This window comes from Homo sapiens, chromosome 19 (assembly GCF_000001405.40).
Source record: "Homo sapiens chromosome 19, GRCh38.p14 Primary Assembly".
Lineage (NCBI taxonomy): Eukaryota > Metazoa > Chordata > Mammalia > Primates > Hominidae > Homo > Homo sapiens.
The window spans coordinates 55,717,177-55,734,337 of NC_000019.10; the positions used below are offsets into that span (position 1 = coordinate 55,717,177).

The 17,161-nt window shown below is 43.8% G+C and overlaps 1 protein-coding gene across 1 annotated transcript in view; it reads right to left on the minus strand.

Moving 5' to 3' along the window:
• The window catches only part of NLRP9 (NLR family pyrin domain containing 9), a 29,965-nt gene that overhangs the window by 8,739 nt on the left and 4,065 nt on the right, over positions 1-17,161 (minus strand). Inside the window, exons 2-4 of the mRNA NM_176820.4 lie at positions 14,823-16,374; positions 12,655-12,816; positions 6,804-6,968 (exon numbers count right to left, since the gene is read on the minus strand). Coding sequence (NP_789790.2) covers positions 6,804-6,968; positions 12,655-12,816; positions 14,823-16,374 — 1,879 coding nt within the window. The remainder of the gene's footprint in view (positions 1-6,803; positions 6,969-12,654; positions 12,817-14,822; positions 16,375-17,161) is intronic.

Here is a 17,161-nt window from a genome sequence, read left to right on the forward strand (position 1 = left end):
GCGCCCGCCATCACGCCCAGTTCATTTGTATTTTTAGTAGAGATGGGGGTTTCACCATGTTGGCCAGGCTGGTCTCGAACTCCTGACCTCAAGAGATCTGCCCACCTCGGCCTCCCAAAGTGCTGGGATTACATGGATGAGCCACCGCGCCCGGCCACATTACAAACTTTTAAGAAGTGCAAACGTAATGACATGACTCCCTCATTAATCCCGTAGGTTTGCACTGAAGTTAGGAAAAATGTCAAAGCCCACGCTTCTCACCACCTGGGGTGATTTGCCCTAATGGAGACATGTGGAAATGTCTGCATATATTATTGGCTGTCACGATGGAGGCAGCCAGGAATGCTGCTCAACGTCCTTTAGTGAACAGGACAGACCCTGCCACAAAGAAGTATCCAGAACTCGATAAATCTGACTCTCTGTCAATAGCACTACAAGAAATAGGAAAACCCAAACTGTGTTTTTTTTCCTACTTTCACACACTCAGCGCAACACGCTTCTGTGGCCGGAGACGGGAGGGCAGCTCTTTTGCAGCCACTAAGTAGGTGTCCTAAAACTTAACCCAATCCTGACACTTCCCAGAGGAGCTAGACACAGAGTTGATCGATTATGCCTGTGTGATGAAACCTCCATAAAAATCCTACAAGAATGTGGTTCAGAGAGCGTCCAGGTTGGCAAACACATCCACACGCCACGCCCCAGCTCCACAGGGACAGATGCTCCTGCACTCGTGTGGGGAAAAGAATGAGAGATCAGATTGTTACTGTGTCTGTGTAGAAAAGGAAGACATAAGAAACTCCACTTTGATCTGTACTAAGAAAAACTGTTCTGTTTTGAGATGCTGATAATCCATAACTTTAGCCTCAACCCTGTGCTCACAGAAACACGTGGTTTAATGGATTTAGGGCTGTGCAGCATGTGCCTTGTTAACCATATGTTTGCAGGCAGTATACTTGGTAAAAGTCATGGCCATCCTCCAGTCTCGATTAACCAGGGACACAATGCACTGCGGAAAGCCGCAGGGACCTCTGCCCGAGAAAGCCTGGGTATTGTCCAAGGTTTCCCCCACTGAGACAGCCTGAGATATGGCCTCATGGGAAAGGAAAGACTTTACCATCCCCCAACCCGACACCCGTAAAGGGTCTGTGCTGAGGAGGAGGAGTGAAAGAGGGAGGCCTCTTTGCAGTTGAGATAAGAGGAAGGCTTCTGTCTCCTGCTGGTCCCTGGGAATGGAATGTCTAGGTGTAAAGCTGACCATTCCCATTCATTCCATTCTGAGATAGGAGAAAATTGCCCTGTGGCTGGAGGCGAGATATGCTGGCAGCAATACTGCTCTGTGACTCTTTGCTACACTGAGATGTTTGGATGAAGAGAAACATAAATCTAGCCTACGTGCACATACGGGCACAGTACCTTTCCTTGAACTTATTCATGATACAGATTCCTTCGCTCACATGTTTCTCTGCTGACCCTCTCCCCACCTGTTGCCCAGCCACATTCCCCTCGCCAAGATAGTAAAAATAGTGATCAATAAATACTGAGGGAACTCAGAGACCAGCGCCAGTGCGGGTCCTCGCACGTTAAGCGTCTGTCCCCTGGGCCCACTGTTCTTTCTCTATACTTTGTCTCTGTGTCTTGTTTCTTTTCTGAGTCTCTCATCTCCACCTGACTAGAAATACCCACAGGTGTGGAGGGGCTGGCCCCCTTCACACTCAGGACCCTTCCAGATCTCATCCTGTGTGTCTATCTGGCTGCACATCTGTATTTTTCAGATCATTTATTAAATTGAGAGTCAGATCCCAGCTGCACATCTGTATCTTTCAGATCATTTATTAAATTAGGTGAGAGTCAGATCCCACACGGTAGGAGCTCAGTCCCACAAGATCACCCTTGACTTCAGATGCCAGTTGCAAGCGCTGGGTTGCTCTGCCTGTGTTTGACCAACCGGCTATACATGGGGGTTCCCCTGACCCCTTCCTTGGGTTAGACTGATTTGCTAGAGTGGATCACAGACCTCAGGAAAACAATTACATTTCATAAATGATTGCTTGAGCTCAGGAGGCAGAGGCTGCAGTGAGCTGAGATCCCACCTCAGCCTCCCAACTAGCTGGGATTACAGGCACCTGCCACCACACCCGGCTAATTTTTGTATTTTTAGTAGAGACGGGGTTTCACCATGTTGGCCAGGGTGATCTCGAACTCCTGAGCTCAAGTGATCTGCCCGCCTCGGCCTCCCAGAGTGCTGGGATGACAGGTGTGATCCGCCATGCCCGGCCCGGCCCCTGGCCACCTTCAGATCTGTCTTCTCCATCCCGCTCAAAGGGCAATGCATATGCAAGTGTTTATGCATGGATTGTTTGCTCTCCATTGTGATAATTTTTTAAAAGCTCCTCAGTCTTTTGACTTTTTATTAATTATTGCATGCCTGTATCTAATTATCTTCTGTGCCGCATAGAAAGCTCCTCATTCTTCAAGCCTCTCGATTGAAACTATGATGGGGATCTCTCCTGTCAGACCAAGAGGAAATGGGAGAGAAGATGTAGCAGAAGCCATATTTAAAGATAGAGATCATGGTAAAATGTTCTCAGAAGCCTGTGCAAATGTTCATCCACAAATGCAGGAAGCTCAGTGAATTTTTAAGCAGGATAAACACAAAGAAATACCAAAACCACACACAATGGGGGTGGGAGGGGAAACTTAAAATTAGCCAGAGACAAGACACATTAAGCACATTGCCTACAATGGGACGAAATATACTGATTTATTTAGAAAAAGCATGGCAGCCTGAATGGGATGGAATTACATCTTTAACATGTAAAAGAACAAAAGAAAGAAAACAGTGAAAGAAAACCTACAATTCTCTGATGTGTGGGGGAAAAAAATCTACAAAAATAAAATCAAAACAGATATTTTTGGTCTCAAATACACCGTGGTCATCTGGTTTATAATGATAACTACTGTTGTTCACTTGAGAAAAAGTGGTTTTTCAACAGCATTCTGTGTTCATATGTGAATTTTTTTTAAACCTGACTTTATACTACATAGAAACACTTACTCAAAGTAGGTCATAGCCCCACTTGTGCATGGTACAATAAGACTTTGAGAGAAAAATGCACAGGAAGTTATTCTTATGACTTTGGGCTTGGAAACAATTATTTTCTTTTGAGACGTGGTCTCACCCTGTCACTCAGGTTACAGTGCAGTGACGTGATGACAGCTCACTGCAGCAACCTTGGACCTTTGGGCTCAAGAGATCCTCCTGCATCAGCCTGATGAGTAAGCCGTGACTACAGGCATCCACCACCATACCTAGATAATTTTTTTGTTTTGTTTTTAGAGACGGGAGTCTCACTATGTTGCCCAGGCTGGTCTCCAACTCCTGGCCTCAAACAATCCTCCTGCCTCAGCCTCCCAAACTGCTGGGATCACAGGCATGAGCCACCAAGCCTGGCAATGATTCCCTAAACACACACAAAAAGCAGCTGAACACGAAAAGACACATTCAGTTTTGATAAAGAATCTCTCTTAATTCAAAGATGATATTAAGAATGTGGAAAACCAAACCACATAGAAGATATTTGCAATGCATGTATTTGACCTAGGATTCATTCCGCAATATAAGAAAAACACCTGTCAATCAATTAGAAAAAGACAGCCCAATAAAACAATGGGCTACATCAGCACATCAAACAGACATATCACAACAGGAAGCCCAGAAAGTCAAACAAATGAAAAGGCGCTCATATTATTAGTCATTAGAGAAATGCAAATTAAAACCACTCAGATATTATGCCCGAAGCAGAATGGATTTGAAAAGATCAACACCCTTAAGTGTTGGGGAGAAAACGGGACAAGTGGAACACATTCATTTCATAGGCAAATAATCTGGTGAAGCCTCTGGTTAAAAGATACTGATTAAGTCTAGTTTCACTGGAAGTTTCATAAAAGCATATTTTTAAAAACAGCTTTGTACATTTCATTAGTAAAGTTTCCTAGTTTTAAGAATGCACTATTGTTATGTAAGATGTTACCTTTGGTGGAAGTTGGGTGGTGATTGGTATATGGGACTTCTCTGTACTATTATTGTAATTTCCTGTGAGTATAATAATCTTTCAATAAAAAGTAAACAACAATGACAAAGTAAAATGGCTGATGTGGAGAAACAGGTGTTTGTCATAAGGGTTTCCAGATACACACGAATTAAGGTGTGGTATCCATAAAAATGTTTGTCCAGGGCCACTGCACAGTATTAGATGTTTTTTTCCTAGTACAAGAGCCCCTGGGTTGGATTTAGGCAAATACCCCATTCTGTTTTAGCCAAGCTGACCCCCTCCCACCACCAGAAGAGAAGCATCACTCTAATCTCTCCTAGGGCACTTCACAGGCTAGCACTCAGTAGTCCAGTACTAGATAATCCTTTGTTGTTGGGGAGCTGTCCTGTACATTACTGGGTATTTAGCAGCATCCTTGGTGATATGGTTTGGCTCTGTGTCCCCACCCAAATCTCATCCTGTAGCTCCCATAATTCCCATGTGTTGTGGGAGGGACCCAGTGGAAGATAATTAAATCACAGGGGCGGGTCTTTCCCAGGCTGTTCTCCTGACAGTGAATATGTTTCACAAGGTCTGATGGTTTTATAAAGGGGAGTTTCCCTGCACAAGCTCTTTTCTCTTGTCTGCCGCCATGTGAGATGTGCCTTTCACCTTCCACCATGATTGTGAGGCCTCCCAAGCCACATCGAACTGCAAGTCCAATAAACCTCTTTCTTTTGTAAATTGCCCAGTGTTGGGTATGTCTATCAGCAGTGTGAAAACGGACTGATACACTTGGTCTCTATCCACCAGATGCCAGCAGCACCCTCCCCACTCAACTGTGATCATTGAAAATGTCTCTAAACATTGACATCCCCAAAGGGACAAAATTCCCCCATTGAGAACTACTGAGCTAGAGAGAACCTGACTTTGAAGACCTTCCACCACCAATACCACACTGAAGTAAATGAATAGTTAGTTTACCCCAAAAGGCAACATTCCCAGCTACATTATGTCTATCATTGTAGATATGTTCCCCAATCCTTATGTTAATGTATAATAGATAAAACCCTATGCAAATAACATAATTATGAAATGGAGCAAAATACTATAGAATTTTGAAAGTTCCCCCTGAGAAGAGAAAGTTAGAGTAGAAGTTAAAAAAAAAGTTGCCATGATATGGAAACAGCTTGAATAAGGAATGAGATCTACAGCAGTTCTATAAGCTCAAACAACCCTTATGCATAGAACCTGCCTCTTTCTCCTGATGGGTCTAGACGCATAAAATTAACCAAGTATAGATGAATCTGTCAATTACATTTTTGACGGTTACTGCAAAGACAAGACAGTGAACTGGGAGAGAGAAGAGCATATTCTCTTAGGGGGTTTAGTGGGCTGATTTTATTTATTGCTGCCTCAATGACTTCCTTTGTTCTCTTTGGAAAGATGGATTGGCCAGTGATTATTCTACTATAAAGATACATGCACATGTATGTTTACTGCGGCACTGTTCACAATAGCACAGCCTTGGAACCAACCCAAACGCCCATCAATGATAGACTGGATAAAGAAAATATGGTACATGTACACCATGGAATACTATGCAGCCATAAAAAAGGAAGAGTTCATGTTCTTTGCAGGGACATGGATGAAACCGGAAACCATCATTCTCAGCAAAGTAACACAAGAAGAGAAAACCAAACACTGCCTGTTCTCACTCATAAGTGGAGTTGATCAGTGAGAACACATGGACACAGGGAGGGGAACAACACACACTGGGGCCTGTCGGTGGGTGGGGAGCTGGGGGAGGGAAAGCATTAGGAGATATACCTAATGTAAATGACGAGTTGATGGGTACAGCAAACCAACATGGCACATGTATACCTATGTAACAAATCTGCACGTTGTACACATGTACTCCAGAACTTAAAGTATAATAATAATAATAATAGAAAAAGAAAGATAGATTGGCTCTGCCTGGAAATCACCCAGTTAGGACAGGGGCTGCTCTGACAATGTTCAAGAGGAAGAAATTACTTTGGGCAAGTCATTCTCCCCCTGGCTTTAATGCTGTCAACTGCCAAATCAGACGATCACACTTGTGATCATTAACATGCTTCAGTTTCAAGTTTCTATAAATATCTTTAGGGAAAAAAAAATGTTGTTCTTGTTTTGGCCTGGTTGCCTGAGGGCAGAACCAGGAAGTATCAAGGGAGGTGTCCGTGAGATGAGCCTGGATGCAGTGGCTCATGTGAAGTACTGTAATCCCAGTACTTTAGGAGGTCAAGGCGGGCAGATTGGTTGAGACCACGAGTGCAAGATCAGCCGGGGCAATATGGTGAAACCCCATCTCTACAAAAAATTACAAAAATTAGCTGGGTATGGTGGCGTGCACCTGTAATCCTAGCTACTTGAGAGGCTGAGGTGGGAGGATTGCTTGAACCCGGGAAGCTGAGGTTGCAGTGAGTCAAGATTGCGTCATTGCACTCCAGCCTGGGCAACAGAGTGAGACCCTGTCTCAAAAAAAAAAAAAAAAAAAAAAGAAGTAATTAAAGTGAGTACTAGAGATGGGAAGGCGGAAACAAACCTTCTGAGAGGAGGCCTTGCCCGGCAGAATCTACCTTCACCTTATGAGAGAGACAGATTCAAAAGATGAAAAACAAGAGAGATGAAGGCTGATGCAATGACCCTCCAGGAAGGAAAACAAGAAAATCAAACTGCAAAGCCCACCTTGGAAAGAAACAGCACTCGGCATGAACAGCCCGGACTTACATCAGCTCTTCTATCTTGCACATTGGATGTTTCAGCGTCTCACACAGGTGTCTGATGTCAGACTGGGAGAGGCTAGTGCCGTACAGGCTCAGAAGTTTCAGATGAGGGTTGTGAAGAACTGCCTTAAATAATTCTGAATCATGTCCAAAGTACACAGAAGTAAATCTGCAAAAGATTAAAAAAAAAATAGCATCATGCAATGAGATCCCAGCACAAAGACAGACACCTCTTGTACGATTCTTCCTGCCCTGAATGCTGGGCCTCACCACACTGTTTCTGGAATTCTGGTTACTCCTGCCAGTAAATTATTTCTCGATGGGGTTTTTAGACACCAGACAGCACAGAGGCTCAAGCTGCTTAGAACTTTCCTGTTTCTTCCTAGCCCCTCCACTTCTACATAACTCCAAACATAGAAGGAGAACGAGTCAGCCGAATCCCATGTTAAACCGAGCCCCATGGGGACAGGAACAAACTATACTTGTACCTCTTTGTATTCTGAGATTAATGTGATTAATGCCTCACATAAAATGACGCACACATATCTGAATTAATGCTCCAAGCAAAACTGTGTTACCCAAGGAAATAACCCATTTCTGTTTTAAAATTAAGATTTTTTTTTTTTTAATAAAAGAGACAATGTTATGTAGTGTCAAAAAACTCAGGCTCCAGAGTTACAGGAAACTGGATTTCACATTTTGCTTTTCTCCTTGTTGCTTTTGCAAGATTGGGCAAATGACCTAATGGCTGTGTGGCCCAGTCTCTTCATGAAAGATATGGTCATGGTAATTAAGAAATTAACATTTAAGGCCAGGCATGGTGACTCACACCTGTAATTTGGGAGGCCAAGGCAGGCAGATCACATGAGGTCAGGAGTTTGAGACCAGCCTGGGCAACAAGGCGAAACCCCGTCTCTACTAAAAATACAAAAAATTAGCTGGGTATGGTGGTGTGTGCCTGTAATCCCAGGCACTCAAGAGGCTGAGGTAGGAAAATCACTTGAACCCAGGAGGCGGAGGCTGCAGTGAGCCGAGATGGTGCCACTGCACTCCAGCCTGGGCAACAAGAGTGAAACTGTGTCTCAAAAAAAAGAAATGAGCATTTATTGTAATGCCTGGAACATGGTCAATTCATGCTGGCTTTTATTTTAATATCTACATGTATATGCCATATATGTGTATTTATAAACCAAATACGTAACTACAAATATGTGTCTATAAGCCAGATATGTACATATTTACCAGATAAATACAAAACCAGAATATGTACTTAAAATCCAGACAAAATTTATGTATAAACCATATATAATATGTATTTATTAGCCTGATAAATGTGTATTTACAAACCAGACACACGTAAGAATAAATACATGACACACAGAACTTGCTCTATGTGACTCCTGGCGTTACAGCAGATGAGCGCACCCTGATTTCTCTCCTAGTCAACTTTAAGAAATGACAGAGAATTTTAAAAGTAAATACTTTTACCATGTTCAAAAACTAGAATGGAAATTTTGAGTAGGCCAGAATCAAAACACAGATAAGGGCAGATCACAGAGGGGAACAGCAGGCTGGAGGAACTGTGCGGACTGCGGGCGGAGTGATCCCCTAAATGTCTGAGTGACACCCAGGTACCACCTGCCCGGAGATAAAGGAAGCCAGGAGCTGGTGACAGGGCGGTGAGGTGTACAGGGATCTGTGCGGCGAGGGTGAGCAGAGCCTGACCCACTAACAGGTGGAAGTGCTACCACATGAAAACAGGGAACCCAGGCCGGGCGCGGTGGCTCCCGCCTGTAATCTCAGCACTTTGGGAGGCTGAGGTGGGTGGATTGCTTGAGCTCAGGAGTTCAAGACCACCCTGGGCAACATGATGAAACCCCATCTCTACTAAAATACAAAAATTAGCTGGGCGTGGTGGCGGGCACCTGTAGTCCCAGCTACTGGGGAGGCTGAGGCAGGAGAATTGCTTGAACCCAGGAGGTGGAGGTTGCAGTGAGCCGAGATTGCACCATTGCACTCCAGCCTAGGGGACAGAGCGAGACTGTCTCAGAAAAAAAAAAAGAAAAACAGCAAACCCCCTTGATTTCTGGAGACACCTGTGAGAATAAGCGGGAGGTGGTGGCAAAAAGGACAGGAATATCCGGCCTCCAAGCCACCACACCACATTCATGAAAGCACCGGGATTGGTTAGCTAGGCAGCTGCAGTGAATGCCAACCGTCAGCCAGCAGCAAACAATCGAGTCAACAGACAATATGGTGGGAAAACAGTCACAAAGATGAACATGTAATCAGGAATCATCGCCATTTCAGGATAATCAACCTCATGGAAAAGGGGCAAACTAAAATAGAAGAGTTGATTATGATACCATTTGTTGACTATTTGCCTTGTCAACTTTTTCCTTTTTCTACACATAAAATGATAAAAAATGCAATTGCTGAGATGAATAAAGAAGCAGAAGCCTGGGCTCATTCCTTCAACTTTGAGTCCAATGCCTCCCCAGCGTTAGGGATTAAGGACCGCTGGAGGTATGTGTGTTTGGAACATATTGATCCATCTGTTATTAGTCTGCCCTACAACCCAAGGAATCAATCTACTTCTCTCAGCCTCTACTGATGCCACTCTGTTTCCAGAAACTATTATCACTTTTTCTCAAGTATAACTTCTTCCTTAACTATGAGGGAAAAAAAGTTGATAAATAGAACAGGATCTGAACTAACCATTCCATGTGAGTGATGGCAGTTGAATGATACCTCCAATGTTCCCTAAACCCTAACCTTGGGGAGGCATTAGAATCGATGTTGAAGGAATGAGCTCTGGCTTCTGATTCTCCATCGTCTCAGCAATTGCATTTATCATTCATATACACAACAGAAAAGAGAAGGAAAAACATTTTTCAATTTCAAGGCATGTGGCTAGATACCTTTGAAGAGAAATGACCAAACTGTCTCTATCATTTCTGGACAACTTAAAATGAATCTAATGATGTTTTTACTAGACACTGAACTAAAGGACTTGTGTAAAATATCAATGAGTTGGGAGGTCAAGGCAGGTGGATCACATGAGGTCAGGAGTTTGAGACCAGCCCGGCCAACATAGTGAAACCCCATCTCTACTAAAAATACAAAATTAGCCAGGTGTGGTGGGGGGCACCTGTAATCTCAGCTACTTGGGAGGCTGAGGCAGGAGCATTGCTTGAACCTGGGAGGCGGAGGTTGCAGTGAGCTGAGATTGTGCCATTGCACTCCAGCCTGGGCGGCAGAGACTCCATCTCAAAAAAAGTTTTTTTAAATAAAAGATCAATTATTTATTCTGTCATCAACACTGTGAAGAAGCACTAATGTCCTCATTTTGTAACCTAAGGTTCCTAGGAAGGACACGTGCATCTTAATTCACGCCTTCACCCAGGTTTATCCAGATTACTGTTCTGCTTCATGTTACCATTGACCTCATGTGAAAATCAATGACTTCTTGTGCTTTGAGACTGAATTTATAAAACAAAAATCAATGACAAATGTCTTCATTGCAAGACCACTAACCACCTCTTCCTTGCTAGTATCCCTCACATATCCCATTGAAATTCAGATACTGCTTATGCGTTATAATCAAGCCAGTCCCCTACTTTAACATTTTCCAGAAAAAAAACAGTTCAGTGAGGTCCACTTTTTACTCTCCATGTGGGATCTTTAGAAATTCTTTTGAGTCAGTTCCTTCATTATTTTCAGCACACATTCATTCTATGGATGTTTAGTGAGCCCCTACAAGGCTTTGTATTTTTCTAGATGCTGAGGATGTGAGGGTAAACGCATCCCCATCCATCATGGAGGTTTAGTCAACAGAGAAACACTGTGCTCCCCAAGATCACTCCTAGCTTTGGTGACTTGCTAGGAGACCTTGTACGACTTGCAATACAGTCTTACAATGGCTATGATTTATTTCAGCAAAAGCACACAAAGGAAAAACCACCAAGGGGAAAAGGAACATAGGAAAAATCCAGAGAAAACCAGACAGAAGCTTCCAAGAGTCCTCTCCCCGTGGGATCACCAGGACACAATAAATTCCTCTAGCAACAAAATGTGAGAACACATGTGAAGTGTCATCTACCAGGGAAGCTCATTAAGGATTCAATGTCCGTGGTTTTTACTGGGGCTTGTCATATAGGCACCCTCTGCCTAGCATGAACCAAAATTCAAAACTCACTGAAGGAAACCAGACATTCAGTATAAACCACAGTGCCGGTAGAATTTACGAACAGTGAACCATTCTTATCAGTCAGGTTGGTGGAAACTCTCCCAAAGTCCAAGTTTCAAGACATCAGCCAGGCCAGGTGCGGTGGCTCACGTCTGTAATCCCAGCACTTTGGGAGGCCGAGGCGGGCGCATCACAAGGCCAGGAGTTTGAGACCAGCCTGGCCAACATGATGAAACCCCGTCTCTACTAATACAAAAACTAGCCAGGCGTCGTGGTGCATGCCTGTAATCCCAGTTACTCGGGAGACTGAGGCAGGAGAATCGCTTGAACCCGGGAGGTGGAGGTTGCGGTGAGCCGAGATCATTCCACTGCACTCCAGCCTGGGCAACAAGAGCGAAACTCCGTCTCAAAGCAACAACAACAACAAAACAAAAACAAACAAACAAAAAAGACATCAGCCAAGGACCAACTTAGCAAACAGGCCTTTCTCGAGACAGCAGTCTTAACGTCTGCTATGTTAACTTTTTTCTGCACAAATATGTGGGCCAATAATTCAACGCAATAACTCTTACCAAAAAGATGTATAAGGTGCTTTGGGAGCATAGCAAGTCTTCCGTGATGACATGACTTTTCAAGCTGAAGGAAGACTTAAATTTAACCTGAAAGCAGTAAGTTTGCTTACAGGGGTGAAGAGAACAGCATGGCCCAGGCAAATCAAGATAAGTAAAATATCAGGGAACAACTGTGTTTCTATCCTCTCATACATTATTTGTATAAAAGTAATAATAAAAACTTTATTAGGATTAAAAGAAACGGAAGAAAATATTGCACATCAGCACTCTGTTTTATGAATGCTACCATTATGCTTATCTTATTTTTCTTTTTCTTTTTTTTTTTTTTTTTTTTTTTACAAATTTAAGGCTATTTTTCTGTCTGTCCTCAGCACTCTTCCTTTCTCACCTGAGAAACATCTATTCTCCATCCACTCACATCCAAGCAAAGGTCATCCCTAACCAGGACTGCTCGCTCTCTGGCCCTCCAACTAGATTTCATTTTACATGTCACTACATTTTTTTTTTTTTTTATTATACTTTAAGTTCTAGGGTGCATGTGTACAACGTGCAGGTTTGTTACTTATGTATACATGTGCCATGTTGGTGTGCTGCACCCATTAACTCGTCATTTACATTAGGTATATCTCCTAATGCTATCCCTTCCCTCTCCCCCCACCCCACAACAGGCTGCGGTATGTGATGTTCCCCTTCCTGTGCCCATGTGTTCTCATTGTTCAATTCCCACCTATGAGTGAGAACATGCGTTGTTTGGTTTTTTGTCCTTGCGATAGTTTGCTGAGAATGATGGTTTCCAGCTTCGTCCATGTTCCTACAAAGGACATGAACTCATGCTTTTTTATGGCTGCATAGTATTCCATGGTGTATATGTGCCACATTTTCTTTATCCAGTCTATCATTGATGGACATTTGGGTTGGTTCCAAGTCTTTGCTATTGTGAATAGTGCCGCAATAAACATACATGTACATGTCACTACATTTAACACACTGGATTGCCGCTCTGCATTTATGCATGGGTCTTCTTCCAAAAAGGCCACAGTAGAGAGAAGGAAACTCTGCCATTTGCTTAAAGGACAGGTTAACATAAAACTTACATGAGTTTTCGGAGTTTACAAACAGGCTGAGCCAGCGCTTTGCAAAGAATCGCCAGGGAGGGATCATCGAGGCTGGTATTTTCCATGTCTAAAATCTGGAAGTTCTTGTTGGTAATGAACATTGAGCAAAGCTCCCGCCAGTAGACGAGCTTCTCATTGTAACTATGAGAGAACAAAGATTGTGATTCTCCAGTGGCTAAACTCAATTCAAGACATTCTCAAAACAGGTCGAACACCATTTCCAAAGCACCTCAAAGCTGACAGACACCCAGGCCTGAACAGGGAGAAGGTCAGCCAGGTAAACGGAGCCAACATGACATAATAGTTAGAAAGTAGGCCCTGGCCAGGTAGAGTGGCTCAAGCCTGTAATTCCAGCACTTTGAGAGGCCAAGGCAAGAGAATCGCTTGAGCTTAGGAGTTTGAGGACGGCCTGGGCAACATAGCAAGACTCCATCTCTATTAAAAATTTAAAAAATTAGACAGATGTGGTGGCATACACCTGTAGTCCCAGCTATTTGGGAGCTGAGGTGAGAGAATCACTTGAACCCAGGAGTACAAGACTAAAGTGAGCTATGATCATGCCACTGCACTAAGCTAGGGAAACAGAGCTAGACCCTGCCTCAAGAAAAAAAAAAAAAGGAGCACTATTTACAATAGCAAAGACATGGAATCAACCTAAATGCCCATCAATGATAGACTGGATAAAGAAAATGTGGTACATATACATCATGGAATACTATGCAGCCATGAAAAGGAACAAGATAATGTCCTTTGCAAGGACATGGATGGAGCGGGAGGCCATTATCCTTAGCAAACGAATGCAGGGACAGAAAACCAAATACCACATGTTCTCACTTGTAAGTAGGAGCTGAATGATGAGAACACATGGACACAGGGAGGGGAACCACACACACTGGGGCCTGTTGGAGTGTGGGGCTTGGGAGGAGGGAGAGCATCAGGAAGAATAGCTAGTGGATATCGGGCTTGATACCTGGGTGATGGGATGCTCTGCCCAGCAAATCACCATGACACACGCTTACCTATGTCACAAACCTGCACATCCTGCACATGTATCCCTGAACTTAAAAGTTGGAAATAAAAAAAAAGAAAGTGGATCCTGAGACAAGAGTAGTTGATTGGAATCAAACTCTGGTGTAAACATTTAGTAACTATGTGACCCTGGACAAGCTATTCAACCTTATTCTGCTTCATTTCCTCCTCGTTTAGATGTGAATACTCGATTGTTCTGTGAACAAGGGTTATTTGGTGACCCCTCAGTGAACAGGGAACTGTATCCAAAAATGTTATCATGAACAGCAGCATGTATCTGAGAGCTAACGTATGAGCTGGTAACCTGAACCCGATGGAAGAATACAAGGCAAAATCAGCAGAGGGAAAAGGCATATGGAAAAAATGCAGAGGAAACAAGGCACGAACTTCCAGGAGTCCCCTCTCAGTGGGGTCACTGGGGGATACCGCACAAGCTATGGAGGGGGAAAAGAAAAGCACAGTCTGACAACAATAAAAATGGTGAAAAAAAAAAAGAAGAAAAGGAAAGAAAGAGAGAAAAAAAGAGGAAGGAACGGAGGGAGGGAGGGAGGAAGCAAGCAAGGCCAGGCGCGGTGGCTTATGCTTGTAATCCTAGCACTTTGGGAGGCCGAGATGGGTGGATCACCTGAGTTCAGGAGTTCAAGACCAGTCTGGCTAACATGGTGAAACCCTGTCTCTACCAAAAATACAAAAATTAGCCGGGCGTGGTGGCGGGCACCTGTAATCCCAGCTACCTGGGAAGCTGAGGCAGGAGAGTCGCTTGAACCTGGGAGGTGGAGGTTGCAGTAGGCCGAGATCGCGCCACTGCACTCCAGCCTGGGTGATAGAGCAAGACTCCGTCTCAAAAAAAAAAAAAAAAAAGTCCTGCTAGCCGCCTCTTAATCTCACACGAGCCCTATGAAGTAGACAAAACTTTTATTTCTCTTTATACAATGGAAAAAGTTCAAGAAGTTGCAGCTCATGATCCCACAGCAGTGCCAAGGCTCGAAAGGAAGGCTTTCTGACTCCGACCTCCATGCTTTTAAGCACAGTGGCATAAGGCCCATGAAATACCCACAGGCCACTAGAGCAAACTCCAAGTGTAGTGTGTGGGACGGGGGATTAATAGACAGACTCACTCTGAGATGCATCCTGAGTCATCTGGAAAGATATTCTCCACACACATGCGAAGTGTCGTTAAATGTTGACAATGCTTCAGGCAGAATGAAGCTATTACCAAATGTTCTATGTTACCAATATAAATGAAAACTTCTTCAAAGAAATTCATCACTTTGGTTACAAATTCTTTTTCCTGAGTTTCAAACAAACCAATGAATAGTTCCTGGAAAGCTATGGCTTCCCTATCAGCTTCACATTGACTTAAACTTTCAAGGCATTGGGTTATTTCCTGCTTTAGGTCTTTTGACAGTGGAAAACCAAAGGAGGTCTCCAGCATGCTGACGATTTCTTCTGTTGAAATTCCAAACATGAATATCCCCACCTGGGTCAAGAGGGTTTGAGGCTGAACCACACTTGCTCTTACAAGCTGGGTTATGCTTCCAATGGCCGGGTTAGGATCGTCTTTGGGTCGTTTGAGCAAATAAAACATGGCGGCACAAAACTCTTGGATACACAGATGCATGAAGGCAAAACAGTCCCCTCTCCTTTGGAGGAGTCTCATACCCACCCACATCACGCCCTCAGACTCAGATAACCCATTCCTCCGGAGATCCCCATGGGAAAATACAAATGTATATGTCCAAATTCCCTCTGCAGCCAAAGCACACAGGCTTTTTAGTCGGGCTCTGTTCACCTTAGGTGGAAAACTCTGACTTCCTGCTTTGAATACAGTTGTTAAAAAGGATGCATATAAATAGGTGGTGTTTTGGGAGTTTATTTCAAGGTCTTCTCCCCTCTCTAGCCTCTGTTTCACACAAGTACAGACCAACCAGCACGTAAAGGGATTATGGCACAAGATAAACAGCGGCCCATTATCTCTCACAAAATTGAAGACTTTCAGGGCTTTGCTCTTCTCACCAAAGAAGTAGGAGAAATACGACTTCTTTTCAGATTCACTGAATCCTAAGAGCTTTATGAGTTTTGGATGCCGCAACATAAAATAGTGTTTTTGCATAGCCAGTTTTCCTAATGCAATAAGGAGAGAGGATTCTGGAAGCATCTTTTTTTGCAACAAACTGCTCAGGATAATTGGCATTGGCTGCCGCTGCCTCCAATCATCGCTCAAGTCAGCCTTAAGTTGTAAGTTAAACTTCAGTTGCTCAAAGCCATCCATGATGAACAGAATTCTCTCTGGCTGGGAAAAAATGTCTTCGATCTTCTCTGAAGACTCCGGCCAGTCCCTAGAGAGGAGCTCCAGTAAGCTGGTCTCTGCGATACCGTTCATTTCACAGACATTGAGGAAAAACACAAATGTGAACCTGTCCTTCCATAAGTTTCCCTCTGCCCAGTCCAACATCACTTTTCTTAAAAGGGTTGTTTTTCCAATTCCATCAGGACCTTCCAGGACCACAGTGTGTCGTCTAGCCGCAGCAGTATATGCGTCATTCAATTCTTTATACTCATTTTTCATGGTTTCTTTGTAGAAATGCTCAGGGACGTGAAGACAGGTTTCCTTCTCCCATATGAGTTGAAATGTTTCCTTCATATGCTTTCTGTATGGGTTTAGCTTATCTGTGTTAATGAGAACAGGATATAAGATAGGTAAAAATGCACTCATTCTTTTATACTTCTGAGAACTGTAAACCAAAAATAAAATTCTAATACTCGCCAGCCATCTGAAGCCAGGGTGCTTTTAAAATTTAACCTGAGAGACTGGTTCACGCCATGATGGGAAGTGGGGGTCAGACATACTTCCTTGTACCTCTCCATTAACAGGAACACAGGCTTGAAGTCTGATAAGAAACATTTTACAACCTATTCTCTCTGAAGGTCTCCTGTGCAAATAAGGATGTGGATCTCCACAATCCTTTATCTTAACCCAGACATTTCCTTTATTTTGATCCCAGGTCTTTAGATAAACTCAACCAGTTGTCAACCAAATTTTTTTTTTTTTTTTTTTTTGAGACGGAGTCTCGCTCTGTCGCCCAGGCTGGAGTGCAGTGGCGGGATCTCGGCTCACTGCAAGCTCCGCCTCCCGGGTTCACGCCATTCTCCTGCCGCAGCCTCCCGAGTAGCTGGGGCTACAGGCGCCCGCCACTACGCATGGTTAAGTTTTTTGTATTTTTAGTAGAGACGGAGTTTCACCGTGTTAGCCAGGATGGTCTCGATCTCCTGACCTCATGATCCACCCACCTTGGCCTCCCAAAGTGCTGGGATTACAGGCGTGAGCCACCGCGCCCGGCTGTCAACCAGTACGTGCCTGTGGTCCCACCTACTCAGGAAGCTGAGGCACAAGAATTGCTTGAACCTAGGAAGCGGAGATTGCAATAAGCCAACATTACACCACTGCACTCAAGCC